The sequence below is a fragment of the Homo sapiens genome, chromosome 8 (genome assembly GCF_000001405.40).
Source record: "Homo sapiens chromosome 8, GRCh38.p14 Primary Assembly".
In the NCBI taxonomy this organism is placed as follows: Eukaryota; Metazoa; Chordata; class Mammalia; order Primates; family Hominidae; genus Homo; species Homo sapiens.
Window position 1 is genome coordinate 11796435 of NC_000008.11, and position 16439 is coordinate 11812873.

Sequence of the window (16439 nt, forward strand, 5' to 3'; positions counted from 1 at the left end):
AGAAGTACTGAGGTCTGTGAAAGTAAAGATCAGCCCAATGAACACAAACAAATAAGGTTCTTGATTCGGAGCTTGCTGTAGTAAGGGAGTTTTGTACTTAGTGGACACTCCGAGGCAGGCAGGGGAGTGGGAAGCTTTACGGTGGAAAAGGGGAAGGCTGCAGCAGTGCTCTGATTGGAGGCTTCTGGCCTGGGGAAGTTGGAAGCAGCTGATAGAGGTAGGTGTCTTCAGTGATTGGTTTGAGGAGCCTATTTGTTTTTCTGTGGTTGATTCTGAGTTGCAAGAGTCCTGACCATTTGGGGCTGATTGCTGCTGAGGTTGTGGTTTTCTTGCAGGACAGGCAAGCCCCAAATTGGGCCTTAGCCCATGAGGGTTCCTGGCTTTACCCAGGAAAGAATTCAAGGGTGAGCCAGTGGTAAGGTGGAAGAAAACAACTTCATTAAAGAGGCAGTGTGACAGCTCCGTGACTTTTCCTGCAGAGTAGGGCTGCTCCGCAGGCAGTGTGCTGAAAGCAGCTCAGGGCAGTTGTGCAGTCAGATCTATATCTACTTTTAATTGCACGCAGATTAAAGGACAGTTTCTGAAGACATCTGTAGGAAAAGGGTAGTAACTTCTGGGTTGTTGGGTCATTGCCATGGAAAGGGGTGGTAAATCCTGGGTGTTGCGATGGCAATGGTAAACTGACATGGCAAACTGGTGGGCGTGTCTTAAGGACGGCTGCTTCGGCCCCTCCCTGTTTTAGCTAGTCCTCAATTTGGTCGGCTGTCTGAACCCCACCTCTGGAGTCGAATCTCGCCTTCTATCTCATTTTGAGTTCCTTGGACTGCCTGCAGCAGCGGTTGTTTAAGCCATGGTTCTGTTATATAGTGTCTGGCTGTTATCCATTCGTATGTTCAGCTTCCAAGTGGACACCTAAGTCAGACTGAGGGAGCTGGATTAGGGGCTCTCTAACAAATAGCACCATCACATAACATGTCTGTTTCTTCCTCTGCATTGTAAGCTCCTTGGGTGTGGAACCTTATCTTACTCATCTTTGTTTTTTCCCATGTCTCCTGCCACATTGTAGATGTTCAGCCAATGTTTGTTGCATTTAAAGAACAGATAATCACAGCTACTAGGGAAGCTGAGATGGGAAGATCCTTAATCCTAGGAGTTTGAGCCAGCCTGGACAACATAAGACCCTGTCTGTCTCTCACACACACTCAAAAAAAAAAAAAAAAAAAAAAGAAACAAACAAAAAAAACGGTGGGGGAGGGGAACAGATAAAGGAGAGGCCAGGAAACACCAGAAAAGGATTCCTGAAGCAGATTCCACCTGAGCTGTAATGGAGGCGTGGCAGGTGGCTAGGCAAGGAGCAGGAAGCCTATTCCAGGCAGGTGAATTGCTTGGGCCAAGGCCGGATGTGAAGTACTGTAGCCTGTTCGGGGGACAATAAGTGCTGCTAGGACTGGATCAGGGTGTGAAAGTAGTACAAGAATGGGTGGACAGGAGGCTGAAATCCCAACAAAGGATGTAGATGCCAAATGGCAAGGACGTTTTTATTCTATGCCAGAAGGCTTGATTTCCTTTAAATCAATCCATTGATTCGAAGACATTTCATTGGAGGAATTTAAAATGGAAGGATTATAATCAAGTGTGTGTTTTTATTTTTTATTTTTTTGAGACGGAGTCTCACTTTGTTGCCCAGGCTGCAGTGTGGTGTGGTGATCTCGGCTCGTGGGTTCAAGCGATTCTCCAGCCTCAGCCTCCCGAGTAACTGGGATTACAGGCACCCACAACCACGCTCAGCTAATTTTGGTATTTTTAGTAGAGACGGGGTTTCACCATGTTAGCCAGGCTGGTCTCAAAGTCCTGACCTCAAGTGATCCGCCTGCATTGGTCTTCCCAAGTGCTGGGATTACAGGTGTGAGCCACTGCACCCAGCCCAGTGTGTGTTTTAGACGAATAACTCTACCTGCCATATGGGAAAGGACAGGGGAAGTCAACTTCAACATGGTTTGGGAAAGAAGATGTGGCTTAAACCAAGATGGAGCAGAGAGGAGAGATTAAAATGAAAGGTATTTGTTTTCTTGGACTCCACAGGACTTGATGAATGATTTTGAAGGGGTGGATATAAGGAGAGAAAGGGCGTTATCAATGACACCTGGATTTTGTGATTACAAAACTGAGAGGCTGTTAACGCTATCCACAGGAGAAGCAGATTTAATGGAAGAGAGATTTAAAGAATGGGCACGTTAACTAACTTTGCATTGTTTAGGCACCATCGTGTCCTATACGCAGCTCAATTCAATAAATACTCATTGAGCACCCAATAAATATTCATTGAGCCAGTATGTGCTGGGCACTATTCCAGATGGTTGAGGGGACATTAGTGAGCAAAACAAAGGTGTGTCGTCACTGAGCTTAGATTTCTAGTGTTGACTTAAAAAATATGATTTATCAATTTAGAAAGGGAGAAGAGCCTTTATTTCTTCTAAAGGGTTACAGCATGCTTCCAGCTTAGACCACAGACGGGCACTTTGAAGGAAAAGGCGTTTGAGGTAGGAGCTTTATGCTGACTGGGTTGGCTAAACGTACATATTTAACAGATTACAAGAGGAGCTACGAATATTTATGATGGCGGACCTGACACATTGAACAAACATGTATGTAATATATGACCCATATTCACTTTGGGATAGAGACTCAACATGTGAATGCATTACAATTACACCCTATAGGTCAAAAGGTCTTTTTAGGACAGGAAGGCGCCTTGAGTGTACAGTTTCTGTAAACTGGCCAGACCAGTCCACGGTCGGCGGTCTTATCAGGAGAAAGTTACTGAGATCAATCTCTTGACCAGTCAAAGCTGTAGTTATGGCTGGTGGAACAGGGGTTCAATTAGTCACTGTCTGGTGGAGCTGCAGGTGTTTTACTATTGCTTATCTCAAGGCCAGCGTTTAGCTGCTGGAGAAAAAGAAGAGCCCTGTGGCAGTTAGAGCTTAGTTGATTCTTCAAGTGTAGGGGTGCCTGACTTCACCATTGCCTGCATGGCCTTAGGTCCTGTTTATAATTGGGTATCTTATTGCCACAGAGTCTGTTCCGTTAGTCTTATGATCTCTGTTTTAATGTTAATGCCAGCCAGTTGTGTATGAACTCCAAAAGGAAGGGGGTACAATGAGGGCTATCTGATCTCCTGTCCCGTTATTTGAAATGCTTTTTCCCTGGTGCTGGAAAGAAATAGCACTTGTAGGCTGGGAGCCGTGGCTCACGCCTGTAATCCCAGTACCTGGGGAGGCTGAGGCGGGCGGATCACGAGGTCAAGAGATTGAGACCATCCTAACCAACATGGTGAAACCCTGTCTCAACTAAAAATAAAAAAATTAGCTGGCCGTGGTGGTACATGCCTGTAGTTCCAGCTACTCGGGAGGCTAAGGCAGGAGACTCACTTGAACCTGGGAGCCAGAGGTTGCAGTGAACCAAGATCGCGCCACTGCACTCCAGCCTCACGACAGAGTGAGACTCCATTTAAAAAAAAAAAAAAAATGAAGAAGAAATAGCACTCGAAGGCTGGGCGCAGTGGCTTGCCTGTAATCCTAGCACTTTGGGAGGCCGAGGAGGGTGGATCATGAGGTCAGGAGTTCAAGACCAGTCTGGCCAACATGGTGAAACCCTGTCTCTACTAAAAATCGAAAAATTACCCAGGCGTGGTGGTTGGGCGCCTGTAATCCCAGCTACTCGGGAGGCTGAGGCAGGAGAAGCACTTGAACCCAGAAGGCAGAGGTGGCAGTGAACCGAGACTGTGCCACTGCACTCCAGCCTGGCAACAAGAGTGAAATTCTGTCTCAAAAAAAAAAAAAAAAAAAAAAAAAAAAAAAAGGCGCTTGAACATTAATTTACTAAGCAGGCCATTTTTACTTCCTGCAGAAAGGGTACACTCGCCAGCAGTTTTGCCATGGGAGTATACCAAACAAAGGAGACAGGGTCATTTATAACCTGACTCGTCCACCCCACTGCTTGTGTCTAGTTTCCATTGGCTGGAACGGTGCCTCACGTTCTGTATTTGTCCCGATTGGCTAGCAACTTAGAAGTTTTTAAAAGAGGCAAAGGTAGAGGAGAACAAAGGAAGGAGGAAGTAACTTGTGGAATGGTGACAAAGGTTGAAACACCTTCAAATAAGGAAGAGGAACAGGCTATGACCTAATGCTTTCTTGGACCACTATAAGCATGCCAGGGCAAATATTTAGGCTAAATTGTGAGAGCTAAGAACATGAAGTACATTGATTTCTTTATCATAGCTAGCAGATATTTAAGAATGTTAGCACAGGTCTTTGAATAAAGTTTGCTTCTAAGAGAAGTTACTATTTATTCCTAATTAAATGGGGAGGAAAGTCTTTGAAGAGGAACCTCTACTTTACTTTTTATACCGTCATGGCTGGAAACTAAGTTTTTAAGATTTTTCTGGGGTTCCCTTGGCCGAGGTGGGGAGTGGGAGGGCTGTCCAGTGGTAGGGACTTAGGATTTTTAGTTTACAGTAGTAGGGGAAACACTCTGTAATCTAATACATAAGTAAATGATGTATTAGAATATGGTAAATATAGGCAAGTAGACCCCCACTGGGATTAGCAGTGGTGGAAATGTGAGAGAGGGCAAACAGGTGGGTCTAGATGAGGTGTGAGCAGACTCGAGGGGCACAGGAGTTAGTCAAGCCAGTATCTGGGGGATAGTGCAGGAATAGTGAACAGCTAGACAAAAAGTCCTAGGGCCAGAGAAAGCAAAAGCATAAGAGATGGAGGCCAGAGAGGTAATCTGGGTGGAAGGCTGCAGCCTCTCAGGATCCCTATAGGTGCTTTGGCTTTTGTTGGAGAGACACTGAACAGCTTTGGGCAGTGAACGTACCTGACAGGTTTCCTGTTTGTTTTTGAGATGAAGTCTCGCTCTTGTCCCCCAGGCTGGAGTGCAATAGCGCGATCTCAGCTCACTGCAACCTCTGCCTCCTGTGTTCAAGCGATTCTCCTGCCTCAGCCTCCCAGGTAGCTGGGATTATAGGCGCCTGCCACCATGCCTGGCTAATTTTTGTATTTTTAGTAGAGACGCAGTTTCAGCATGTTGGCCAGGCTGGTCTTGAACTCCAGACCTCAGGTGATCCGCCCGCCTTGGCCTCCCAAAGTGCTGGGATTACAGGCATGAGCCACCGCGCTCGGCTAGACCTGACAGGTTTTAAAAGGATTACTGGTTGCTGTGTTAAAACAGACTGCAGGATGGCTTAGGTAGCCAGTAGGTTTTTTTTTTTTTTTGGAGACGTAGTCTTGCTCTGTTGGCCTGGCTGGAGTGCAGCGGTGTCATCTTGGCTCACTGCAAACTCCGCTTCCCGGGTTCAAGTGATTCTCCTGCCTCAGCCTCCGGAGTAGTTGGGACTACAGGCGCCCACCACCACACTCGGCTTTTTTGTATTTTTAGTAGAGACGGGTTTCACCATGTTGGCCAGGATGGTCTCGATCTCTTGACCTCGTGATCCACCCGCCTTGGCCTCCCAAAGTGTTGCGATTACAGGCGTGAGCCACCACGCCTGGACGGGTAGCCAGTAGTTTCTAGGGCTGGAGAGATCTAGGATGAGAGAAGTTTCCACATTCCTGTTACAGGCTCTCTAAGGCTTCAGCTCCTTTTTCTAGGACTAAGCTGGATCTCAAGTAAACACTAGAGAGGGGGCAGCTGAAGCTCCAGGAGTGTGTGGGGCTCCCTGGGGCTGGATGGCGGTGGCGGGCAGGCGAGCTGGGCTGTGCTCGGGTGTGTTACAGTAAAGACGCCCAGCTTGGCGCTGGCCCGGCCTTTTCACGGTTTTAGGCTCTACAGAGAGCGGCTGCAGAGCTCACCCGGCTGGCAGGAGCCACCGAGGCCGGACACGTGGGCGACTTATTGACCAAGTGGGGAGGAAGCAGCCCCGCACTGCTCTCCCGACTGCGGACCACCGTTGGGCTCCTGCGCATCCTAAGCCCCACCGCCTCACCTCCAGTCCCCACAGCGTTCGCGCTCCCAGCCGGGGTAAGCGGAAGAAAACAAAGGCCCGGCTCCATCAGGGCACCAATCCCGCTCGTCGGCCTCTTTCTCGGCCTCCAATGAGCTTCTAGAGTGTTATCACGCCAGTCTCCTTCCGCGACTGATTGGCCGGGGTCTTCCTAGTGTGAGCGGCCCTGGCCAATCAGCGCCCGTCAGCCCACCCCACGAGGCCGCAGCTAGCCCCGCTGGCGGCCGAGGCCGGTTGAAGTGGGCGGAGCGGCGGGCGGGGCGTCGCCGTACTAGGCCTGCCCCCTGTCCGGCCAGCCCCTCGAAGCACCTACTCCACAGGTCCAGCCGGCCGGTGAGCGCCTGGGGACCGCAGAGGTGAGAGTCGCGCCCGGGAGTCCGCCGCCTGCGCCAGGATGGAGTTCGTGAAATGCCTTGGCCACCCCGAAGAGTTCTACAACCTGGTGCGCTTCCGGATCGGGGGCAAGCGGAAGGTGATGCCCAAGATGGACCAGGTGGGCCGAGCCTCCCTGCTTGCCCGGGGCGGGGAAGGAGCTCGCTGGGCCGGCCTCAGGGCCTGAGCGGCCGGGCCCGGATCTGGGGCAAGGGGCGCGGCGAGCAGGGCCGACGCCTGGGTGTTCCCGTCCCCCTTTCCTCGAGCCTTCCCCCTGTAGGGCCCGGGTGGACGCGGCCGTCCTGGCTGACCTGTCCCTGCCCCCGCAAGCCGCCCTGGGCATGAGCGACTTTTGCGTGGTTCCCGGTGGTTGCGCTCCCCGTTTCGTCCCCTCCGTGAGCATCGGCGCTTACCGGTATTTTAACCCGAGGGTTACACATCTGAGGCAATGTGGGTGGGTTACGCGGGAGAGGACGAGTGAGTTTTTTGGTAAGCGGAATGAACTATGCAGATAACATCACATGAAGGCCGTTTCTGGAATGAAGTCTGACTCCTCCAGTTTCACCACCTCTTCCGGAGCTCTCCCCGCCTTGCTGCCTTCCATCGCTTCATCCTCGGTGCTTCCTGAGTTTTAAAATCGCCTATCTACGCTTCCAAGTTCCAATGAGTTATCTAACGTCTATGGATTAGCTAGGTGGTTGGTGGAAGGTCAGAACTTGGTTTTACTTAGATTTTTATCTGCCTCATGCCTGTACTATTTGTTTAATGAATGCATAGGAGGTGTTTTTATTCCAACAAGAAAATTATTCGTACGCGATTATTGAATGAATAGACAAATTCAGCCAAGTTCTTCTGGTCTGGACCAGCCTGGCTGATTTCTGTAACTTTTTTGGGCCAACAGGACAGTAGCAAATGTGACTCAGGCCGAGGCTTGATAGGTGCCTGAACATCGGAGTCTTTCTTTCAGTGTCCATGTGCTTCAGTAAACACACTAGAAAATAAATTTCTGGTTTTTGTCCCCAGTAGACTACACCCTCATTTGGTGTTATTTTTCACGTGCTATCTTTAATACAGGTACATCCTTCAGTCTATTTGTAGAACATTCAGTTTTCTTCATCTTTTCTTTGCCGGTGCTACATTATTTGAATTATTTTGCTACAGAATAACTTCTATTATTTGATATGGCAGATGTCACTTTTTATATTTAGATATAGCATTCATTTATTTAACAAATATTTGACGACCAGTTGTATATCAGATAGTGTTCTAGGTGCTGGAGGTACAACAGTGAACAAGCTAGGTGAAGACCTTGATTTTATAAAACTTACTTTTTAGTGGAAGAGAGACAATTTAAGAAAGCGAATGTACAGTTTTTCACGTGGAGAAAAGCACTGCAGAGGAAGATACTAGCAGGGCAAGGGATCTGAGTGCAGTCAGACCTCATTTGGGTCCAGACTTCATTCCTCTATGTCTCTTTCCTTTCTACAGAAAGACTGTTAGAGAAAATGGTAGCATTGGTTTCCTGTTGGGAGGGAAAGTGGGTGGTCATGGTAAGTGGGTAGAGAAAGACTTCACAGTATACTGTTTTTGTACATTTTGAGTTTTTTTAAAAGCGAGACTTGAGCTATTCTAGCTCTGATAATATGGTGCAGTATTTGTTATGTTAGTTGTAGTCTTTCTGGGCAGTTTTTACATCCCCATGAGCCGTTAAAAAAATACCTGAACCTTTAATTAGGGGAAATAAATTGGAAAAATACATTTCCCTTCACTTAACATTATCTTAGTTTCTCTTTTTTTTTTTTTTTTTTTTTGAGATGGAGTCTTGCTCTGTTACCCAGGCTGGAGTGCAGTGGTGGCGGGACCTCAGCTAGATGCAGCCTCCGCCTCCTGGGTTCAAGCAATTCTCCTGCCTCAGCCTGCTGAGTAGCTGGGATTACAGGCACCTGCCACTACGCCCGGCTGATTTTTTGGTATTTTTAGTAGAGACGGGGTTTCACCATGTTGGTGAGGCTGGTTTTGAACTCTTGACCTCAAGTGATCTGCTCGCCTTGGTCTCCCAAAGTGCTAGGATTACAGGCGTGAGCCACTGCACCCGGCCTTTTTTTTTTTTTTTTTGAGGGGGGGGTCTCACTCCATCGTCCAGGCTAGAATGCTGTGGCCTGAACATGACTCACTCCAGTTTTGACTTCCTTGGCTGAAGCCATCCTCCCACCTCGGCTTCCTGATCCCGAGTAGCTGGGACTCCAGGCACGTGTCACCAATGCATGGCTAATTTTTAAATTTTTTTGTAGACACAATGTCTCGCTGCATTGCCCAGGCTGGTCTTGAACTCCTGAGCTCAAGCGATTTTCCCACCTCAGCCTTCAAAGTGCTGGGATTACAGGTGTGAGCCACTGCACCCAACCAGTTTCTCTCTGCAAACTAGGGAAAAAATTTACGCTTAGCAGATACTGAGGGCTGATTATTTCTATCACAGAAGCATTTGGCTATAGAATTTCAGGGTTTAGTAAACTTGATTTACACTGAATTTTTAGGTGCATATCAGTAAATCTACGGGCATATGCCGCCTGCAAGTTGTGTGGCATCACCCAAAAGCCGAGAGTAATGGAAAGAGCAGGCTGTTAGTAATCAGGCAGATCTGGCTCCTGTCCAATCTAAATCCTGTTATTTAGACTAATATCTTAAGTCTGTTATTAAGTCCGATTTCTGACGCTATTAAGTTAGGTGAACAACCTTGGTAACTTAACCTCTGAACCACAGTTACTTCATCTGTAAAATAGGGATGTATGTATGGTAACGATTTTTTAACCACAACTTCCCAACTCTAAGATGGTCTGAAAAGAATTTTTTGAGTGTTTGGCTCAGAATCACTTGGCAGCAAAACCTGACTTGAAGTTGAGGCTTCATTCATCCCACTTAGTATATTCAAATGTTTTGCTAAAGAAATAATTATGAGGTGCTACTTCACACTGACTAGGGTTGTATATGCATTTTATTGCCTATTTTCTAAAACACTAAAAATGCTAAATTCTGCCCCAGGTCTTGCCACAGATGTTTCAGTGGACTATGGGCCTGTGAGACCTTAAAGGGTTGATTGAGTAAGGATCACAGGTGATGTCCGCATTGTGCTTGGCATGGAGTTAAGTGCTTGATAAATGGTGGTTATCAATCTGATTATGTAAATTTATGTAAATTCAGTTCTCAAGTTTGTGGTTTTTTTCCCCTCCTGGAGAAATCTATTCTATTTTAAAGTGAGGAAGGCTCCGTGGAGGGCTGGTAGCTGGTAGCTGTTCACTTGTGGAACTTTCAGCCTGAGGCTGGAGCCCCTTCCTGGGAGTCTGGTCTTGTCGTCTTCCTGACCACCCCCACACCCTTCCTCTAAATTCCCTCCATCCCTGTTTTTCTCCCGCTTGCGAGCTTTTGGGAGTGTGCTGAATCTCAGACTGCAATAGATAAACCCAAGAGGGACAGGCACCAGTAGCCTGAGCTTGCTTTCTCCCCTGGCTCATGGGAATCAAGCAGTAGAAATTTTTAGTGAGTGTTGTTTTCCATAGTATGCTTACTAGTTGTGTCTTCCTGTTTTGTTCTTGGTGATTTGAAGAAACCTGTTTACAAGGTAAGGGACTGAAACAAATAGGTGACAGGAAAAAGAGCAGCAGGGGTACGAGCTGGAGGAGTAAGTGGCTTGGCTTGCTCTCTTTCAGAATGGAGGGCTGTATGGAAAGGAGGGGTAGTGTTCTTGAAGAGTGTTGGGGTTTAAATCTAGGGGGACCGTGTCTTGGCATTGATTGAAACTCCTGGCTTAACATCACCCCGAAACTGTTAGTTGGACTGAACATGACATTTGGCAGTGCAGTTAAAAACACTTCCTGCTGTAGCCTGGTAATGGTCAGGCTATGTGAAGAGCTGCTCTGGAGCTCAGTCCAGAGCGGGTATTCTGTTTCTTTCACTCTGAAATCCTGCCTCTCGATATTTTGAGAAGGAAGGAGTTGGTGAATTGTTTTAAAATCCTCGATGAATGTCTTCATTTATTCATGACACCACTTCTGAATATATTTATGTGCCAGACGCTGAAGTTTACTAATATTATGGTGCCCAGTAAATACTTGTTTTTACTAATATTTTTTATGGCAATAAAATGACTTTTTCAGGATTATGTGATTTAAAAGATTGACCCTTTTGGCAAAATACGTATTCATGATAGGAAATATATACAAATAAAAACAACATAGTTCACTTAAACCTCCCACCAGAGCCCAGGGTTCACTGTTACCATTCTGAAGTGACTATGGAATTTCCTAGAAGTGGATATGCCATATTTTTTTAACCACTCCTATTGGATATTTGTTTTTTATTTTTTTGAGATGGGGTCCCACTCTGCAGTGTACAATATCATAGTTCACTGTAACGTGTATCTCCTGGGCTCAAGCGATCCTCCCACCTCAGCCTCCTGAGTAGCTAGTCTTCAGTAGCTAGACTATAGGTGGGCGCCACCACACCTGGCTTTTTAAAAAATTTTTTAAAAACTTTTTTATGAACACGAGGTCTCACTATGTTGCCCAGGCTGCCCTCAAATTCCTGGGCTCAAGTGATTCTCCCACCTTGGCCTTCCGAAGTGCAGGGATTATAGGCGTGCGCCACTGCACCCGGCCCTGTTGGATAAATGATTCCAGTCTCTCCCAAAAAGAACTGTTGTAAGACTGTGGGGTGAGGGGAGGGAAGGGACAAATAGGAACCCGCCGTATTTTCCACTCCCTGTGGGCCTAAAACTGCTCTAAAAAATAGTCCATGAAAAAATACATAGTACAAACAGCAACTCTTTCTGATATGCTTGCATTTAAAATCAGGCTTTTTCTCCCTTTTGGAAAAACACAGTCCTTGTTTGCTTTAGGGAAGAGTAAAGGTCAGTGCGCTGCATTGCATTAATTTCGAAGGGAAAGATGAGAAGACATCTTGAAAGGAATGGCTGGCTTTCTAGAGAATAGTAGAGGCTTAATAGGTGTCATAGAAAAACCAGGGTTGGACAGTGGTAGTAAAACGGCAAAACAGATTTTATTCAGAAAAACTACTGCAGTAAGAGGAGAGAGACCTCGGTACAGAACTGCTCCACTGCGAATACAAAGAAAAGTAGGAATTGATGGCGGGGGAGCCGGATGTCAGTGGATGGAAAATTATTACGAGGAAACACAGGGGTGTGCATTCTTGCTGAAGGCAGGCCAGAGTTATCAGACATCACCTGAGGGATGGAGGGGGATGTGGAACCTAATCGGCTGTCTAGGGTGATCAGATACTGAAGTTGGGGGATTCTGGTCAAATCAATTTAGCAGGATTCTTGGTAAAACTGGGCGATGCAAAGACAGATGCGTTGAGTACAAAGTCCAGGCCTTATTGGGAAGAGGATTTCAGCGGAGCCCGAGTAGAGTTTGGTCTAGGGAGACTCTGTCACTGGGAGGACGAGCGAGCCGCTCGGAAGTGCGCTGGGTTCCCTTAGCGGCCAGTGGGTTCTGGTGAGAAGGGCAACAGCGGGAGGAGGCGCCGGTGCGGAGCGGGAGGCCGGGGGCGGGGCTGCGGGGCTGCGGGGCGGGCCCGTTGTGGGTCGGCCCAGCGCGTATTCGAGTAGAGGGCGAGCCCGTCCCGCCCCTCGTCGGGCGCTTCCCAGATCTGCTTGAGTCTATGGAGGAAAAACTCCGCGGGGTCCGCGATTCCCATGGCCGCAGCCGCCTGCGGCACCAAGGCCATGGCCCTCTTCAAGCGCACCTTGGTGCTGAGTCCCGCCGCGGCGCCCAGGGGCCCGGGCGCAGGCACCGCCCCGCGGGGCTGCTGCTTGCCTCCTGCCGCCTGGCCCTGCAAGGACTGGCCTCGGGGAGAGGGCGGCAGGCTGTGGAGCCGCCTGCCCCAGTCCCACTCCCACTCCCACTCCCACTCCCACTCCCACTCCTGCTCCTCGACGTCTCCCACCGCCGTGTGTGTTGTCTGCCCGCAGGACTCGCTCAGCAGCAGCCTGAAAACTTGCTACAAGTATCTCAATCAGACCAGTCGCAGTTTCGCAGCTGTTATCCAGGCGCTGGATGGGGAAATGCGGTGAGTGATGGAGGCAGCGCCTCTGGCTTGGAGGAAAGCTTGTCCGGGACCTTTGAGTGTGTTGGAAGCTACCTTTTGATATAGCGCTCAGCGTTGCAGCCTCGTTGCTGTGGCTTATCCAGAACATAGCCCGGCCCTACGTGTTTACTTTAGAAAGCCCTTCCAGGCTCTTTGCCATCTAGTAGAGTCCCTGCGGGCCCAGCCTTTCAGAGAAGAGGGGGGAGGGGGTGATGTTTATTAACTTTTTTTAGTCTTGGCAGCTGAACCTGCCTGTGAGCAGGTCGTGTATTTCTCGGCTTCCCTTATCCAACTTTGCATTTCTATTTCTAGCATATTGGGTTGATTCTTTTGAAGCTGCCTCTGTGCACATTACACCCATGAACTTAGACCAGTTGCCTTTATGTATGATCGTATTTATACTGAGAAGTTACTGTGTTTTTTGACTTTCTTTTCTATTTGCTACATATTAGTTCGGTCTAAACGTTTGGTCTTCTGGTCTCCATAGTTCTACATTGGTTAAATGCAACTCACTTCTGGGAGTAGTGGTGACATTCAACTAGTAGGCTTTTTAATAAACTACAGAAGTTCATTACTCTCATGTAAGGAAGGAAAACTAATGTAACTTTCGTTAAGTATGAAAAGCGTTGGATATCCTTATAGTTCTTTAGAGTTAAGGGTGAGATGGGTTTAGAAAGTGGCCAGGCACAAGTTATTTTAAAATAAAAAATCTTTGGCTGTTTGTTCCAATATATTAATAGTTTTCCCTTTTTTACAGCAACGCAGTGTGCATATTTTATCTGGTTCTCCGAGCTCTGGACACACTGGAAGATGACATGACCATCAGTGTGGAAAAGAAGGTCCCGCTGTTACACAACTTTCACTCTTTCCTTTACCAACCAGACTGGCGGTTCATGGAGAGCAAGGAGAAGGATCGCCAGGTGCTGGAGGACTTCCCAACGGTGAGTGGGGTTACGCATCTTGTCTACGGACTGTTGTGTTCATAATTGCTAACGTGGTTGTCCGGTAGCCTCCATACATGTGGAGAAAGGTTAAATAAGCATTCTGAGGGCAGCATAATGTGAGGGTTAAAAACTCCGGTAGCCAAGACTCTGAAGCCAGGCTGCCTGGGTTGGAATCTCAAATCTCCCACTTACTAAACTGTTGGTTACTTACAAAGACTCTCTGTGCCTCAGTTTCTTCATCTGTAAAATAGGGGTAATAATAACACCTACCTCATGGTATTCTGAGGATTCAAAGAATTAACGTAGGTAATGCTCTTAGAATGTTAGCTACTGCTGTTATTATCAGTATTGGAAGTCCAGTGTTTCTTCCTGTGGGAAGACGCAGTCAAATTTTAGTGTTGTGAAAGATTCTCAGGCTAGCTCACAAAAGCCTGCCGACTGTATGATGCAGCCTACCTGTAACACTGCTGGCCTCTTGACTACCCGGAGCCTGGTAGCATGGGACTGCTGCTCACGATGGGCAGCAGCCTGGCATGGGGGCGGTGTCTGTTGGCAGCTAGGGCGAGCCTCTGCCACTTCACCTGTGATCCTGGGCAAGTTCCTTATCTGCTTTGTGTCTCCGTCTCCTCGTTTGTAAAGTTAGAGCTGAGAGGATTAATTTCGCACATATAAAGTACTTAGTGCCTGGTACAGGGTAAGTATTCTGTAAGTATTAGCTATTTGGTCTATTTTGTTGGAGTAAAGTGGGTTATAGTTAAAATCCTAAGATTTTTAAAGTCCCTCAAGTTCATGTGGACATCTGCCTAGGTCCTACTATCCTAGAATTCGCATGTCTTATCACACAAATAACTGATTCTTCCATATCTTATAAATAAAGGTTTGATTTAGCAAAGTCACATGTTGTGTAATAGCTCGAAGAAGCCCTTTTTGTCCACAGTTGCCAGAGCTTTTGGAGAACAGTCCTTATGTTATTGAAACAAACCTAATCTGTAGCTGAGTTGGGAGGGAGCTAAGTGGACAGAGAGTCCTCCACCCAAACAAAAGAATCTTTGATTCTTGGGCATAATGGGAGCAATATTTAAAAAAAAAAAAAAAAAAAAAAAAAGGAATGTTTGGGGAAGACTCTTGCGGTGCAAAGGCTGTTTCAGATTGCTGAGATCAGACCTTAAGTACCAAAGCCCAAATATAGTACAACATAATACAAATGAGAAGAAAATAGCTGAAGAATAATTCGAGTTTATACAGTACAATTCAAGAGAAGAAAGAAAATTTATGACGACTAGCTGGGTGAGAATTAGAACTGTAACCCTGGGAAGGTCCTGGTGATTTGACTCTCACAGGACACCTGATGACCAGAGGATGGGTTTCCTTTGATGGGAAATCTGTGGCGATTCATTGATGGGCCTCTGAATTCTGCTGAAGCAGAGGAAGTAGTAATACCCCATTTATAATGGAAGTGCATTCTCACTTAAAAACAACTAATATTATTCTAGCTGGACCTAGCCTCTAGAAACAGCCAAATTACATTTGACTTGAGTGGATTCATAATAATTAAAAAATTTCTGGGGCATGGGATAAATGTGTTAGGTATTGCTAAGTCAAGGCAGCCCTATCCCCTCAGCAGAAGTGAGGGAATATGAAAGTGTGTGAATGCTAACATAATTTTGGGGAATATCGCCGTCAGATTTCCAGATGATATTCCAACATGTTTGTGAAACTTCAGTGTCTTCCTGTGTTCATACAGTGTTCCAGTGGAAAAATAATGCTTAGTTCTGGAAGGTTTCAGATGTGAACACTGAACTCATCGTTTTCTTTTTTGGGTAGTAGAGTTAGAGATTCCATCCTCTTGAAAGCACAGTTGCCCCGGGAAGAGTAAAAGGGAGCAGAAGGCGTAAGCCAGGCACGGCTGTTTTCACTGTTGTTCACCTTTTGTATCCTTACGAATATGAAGATGTACTAAGTTGTGTGTTTTGCGTGCATATATAATTTTAAGCTACTTGAGTTGTAGGTCCCTCCAGTCTGTGATTCAGTTTGAGATGGGACTGTATGGGAATTAACAGTGCCTTGTCTTCTTAAGGAGTGATTTGTGTATGTGCTGATATAGCTCAGTATGTCTTTGAAACCAGTTGTCTGGGGCTAGGCCTGCAATCAGCTTTTGGCTAAGAGGTCCCAGGATGGAACAAGTAGTGTGAAAGAGGACTGATACCTTGGCCTCACACACAGTACTGCTCTTAGACTGGGGCAAGTGAAACTCCTCACTTCAGAGTGCCCCATTCTAGGCCCCCTCACTCCCAAAGGGGTGAGGGATCACTGGGGCCATGGGAATGTGCTTGTTCAGCTCTCGTGGGCTCTCCTTCTGTACCACGTTCTGGACATCTGGAGTTCCTTGCCCCAAATCCCTGAGCCCACGTCTGCGTCCGCACAGTCTATTTCCTAAGGTCAGTCCATCTCCTCCAGGTGGGAACGTGCCACCATTGACTGTGCCCTTGGGCCTGAGTGATGGCCAAGGGCTGTGTTGGGGAGTGTTGTGGATGGATCCTGGCACCGAGGGCTGGGATATCCTCTCAAATGAATGTGAGGTGCCTCCCAGTGCTGGAGAGAGCGGGATTCAGGAAGCAGTGGAAGGGAAGAGCCTGGGATATGGGGATCAGCTGTCTGTGCCCTGCTGCATTCTGGAATAAAACTCTGAGGGACTAAGAATTCTAAATTCAAACCTGAATCAACCAGGTTGTTACAAAGATAAGTTTGTCAGTGCAGGAGGATACAATATATTTTACTTAAGTTACTAGCTCGATTGATCATTTTTAAATTTTTAGCTACATATAGTATGTGGGCCTCCATTTGTCCTCTTATCCCAGGCCTTGCAGAATTTAGGAATAAGCCTCAATACAGTGTTCTAACCCAGTGACTTCCGCCTCGATGTACAGTAGATTGAACCTGATCCTTTATACTTTAGTGATCATTAGTTGATACCAGTTCAAGTCAGGCTTTCTAGAAATCTCATTGTATGTTAGGGGTTC

The 16439-nt window shown here is 47.1% G+C and overlaps 1 protein-coding gene and 1 long non-coding RNA gene across 12 annotated transcripts in view, besides 10 other annotated features; one reads left to right on the forward strand and one right to left on the reverse strand.

Annotated features, from left to right (window-relative positions):
* The window catches only part of LOC105379243 (uncharacterized), a 14138-nt gene extending 9217 nt beyond the window's left edge, over positions 1 to 4921 (reverse strand). The window contains exon 1 of the long non-coding RNA XR_948962.4: positions 4879 to 4921. This is a non-coding gene — a long non-coding RNA (uncharacterized LOC105379243). The remainder of the gene's footprint in view (positions 1 to 4878) is intronic.
* Positions 1 to 16439, forward strand: part of FDFT1 (farnesyl-diphosphate farnesyltransferase 1) — a 43717-nt gene that overhangs the window by 853 nt on the left and 26425 nt on the right. The window contains exons 2-5 of one of the 11 annotated variants that reach the window (NM_001287742.2): positions 5824 to 6021; positions 6325 to 6497; positions 12360 to 12457; positions 13233 to 13416. In NM_001287742.2, coding sequence (NP_001274671.1) covers positions 6399 to 6497; positions 12360 to 12457; positions 13233 to 13416 — 381 coding nt within the window. In that variant the 5' untranslated portion in view covers positions 5824 to 6021; positions 6325 to 6398. Of the gene's footprint in view, positions 1 to 5823; positions 6022 to 6306; positions 6498 to 6643; positions 7085 to 11508; positions 11884 to 12033; positions 12458 to 12706; positions 13057 to 13232; positions 13417 to 16439 lie in introns of those variants that run through there. The other 10 variants (NM_001287745.2, NM_001287743.2, NM_004462.5 and 7 more) reach the window with 10 other exon arrangements.
* Positions 3581 to 4224: an enhancer, noted in NCBI's record as "H3K27ac-H3K4me1 hESC enhancer chr8:11657524-11658167 (GRCh37/hg19 assembly coordinates)". NCBI's record gives its function as "activates a minimal SCP1, AML or CMV promoter by ChIP-STARR-seq in naive H9 embryonic stem cells {active_cell/tissue: H9 hESC(naive)}" and the evidence as "EXISTENCE:reporter gene assay evidence [ECO:0000049][PMID:30033119]".
* Positions 3869 to 3928: a silencer, noted in NCBI's record as "silent region_18939". NCBI's record gives its function as "represses an Ori minimal core promoter by ATAC-STARR-seq in GM12878 lymphoblastoid cells {active_cell/tissue: GM12878}" and the evidence as "EXISTENCE:reporter gene assay evidence [ECO:0000049][PMID:35858748]".
* Positions 4354 to 5096: an enhancer, noted in NCBI's record as "H3K27ac-H3K4me1 hESC enhancer chr8:11658297-11659039 (GRCh37/hg19 assembly coordinates)". NCBI's record gives its function as "activates a minimal SCP1, AML or CMV promoter by ChIP-STARR-seq in primed H9 embryonic stem cells {active_cell/tissue: H9 hESC(primed)}" and the evidence as "EXISTENCE:reporter gene assay evidence [ECO:0000049][PMID:30033119]".
* Positions 5097 to 5838: an enhancer, noted in NCBI's record as "H3K27ac-H3K4me1 hESC enhancer chr8:11659040-11659781 (GRCh37/hg19 assembly coordinates)". NCBI's record gives its function as "activates a minimal SCP1, AML or CMV promoter by ChIP-STARR-seq in primed H9 embryonic stem cells {active_cell/tissue: H9 hESC(primed)}" and the evidence as "EXISTENCE:reporter gene assay evidence [ECO:0000049][PMID:30033119]".
* Positions 5876 to 6035: an enhancer, noted in NCBI's record as "active region_27032". NCBI's record gives its function as "activates an Ori minimal core promoter by ATAC-STARR-seq in GM12878 lymphoblastoid cells {active_cell/tissue: GM12878}" and the evidence as "EXISTENCE:reporter gene assay evidence [ECO:0000049][PMID:35858748]".
* Positions 6106 to 6355: a silencer, noted in NCBI's record as "silent region_18940". NCBI's record gives its function as "represses an Ori minimal core promoter by ATAC-STARR-seq in GM12878 lymphoblastoid cells {active_cell/tissue: GM12878}" and the evidence as "EXISTENCE:reporter gene assay evidence [ECO:0000049][PMID:35858748]".
* Positions 6566 to 6685: a silencer, noted in NCBI's record as "silent region_18941". NCBI's record gives its function as "represses an Ori minimal core promoter by ATAC-STARR-seq in GM12878 lymphoblastoid cells {active_cell/tissue: GM12878}" and the evidence as "EXISTENCE:reporter gene assay evidence [ECO:0000049][PMID:35858748]".
* Positions 11534 to 11813: an enhancer, noted in NCBI's record as "active region_27033". NCBI's record gives its function as "activates an Ori minimal core promoter by ATAC-STARR-seq in GM12878 lymphoblastoid cells {active_cell/tissue: GM12878}" and the evidence as "EXISTENCE:reporter gene assay evidence [ECO:0000049][PMID:35858748]".
* Positions 11884 to 12083: a silencer, noted in NCBI's record as "silent region_18942". NCBI's record gives its function as "represses an Ori minimal core promoter by ATAC-STARR-seq in GM12878 lymphoblastoid cells {active_cell/tissue: GM12878}" and the evidence as "EXISTENCE:reporter gene assay evidence [ECO:0000049][PMID:35858748]".
* Positions 12114 to 12273: a silencer, noted in NCBI's record as "silent region_18943". NCBI's record gives its function as "represses an Ori minimal core promoter by ATAC-STARR-seq in GM12878 lymphoblastoid cells {active_cell/tissue: GM12878}" and the evidence as "EXISTENCE:reporter gene assay evidence [ECO:0000049][PMID:35858748]".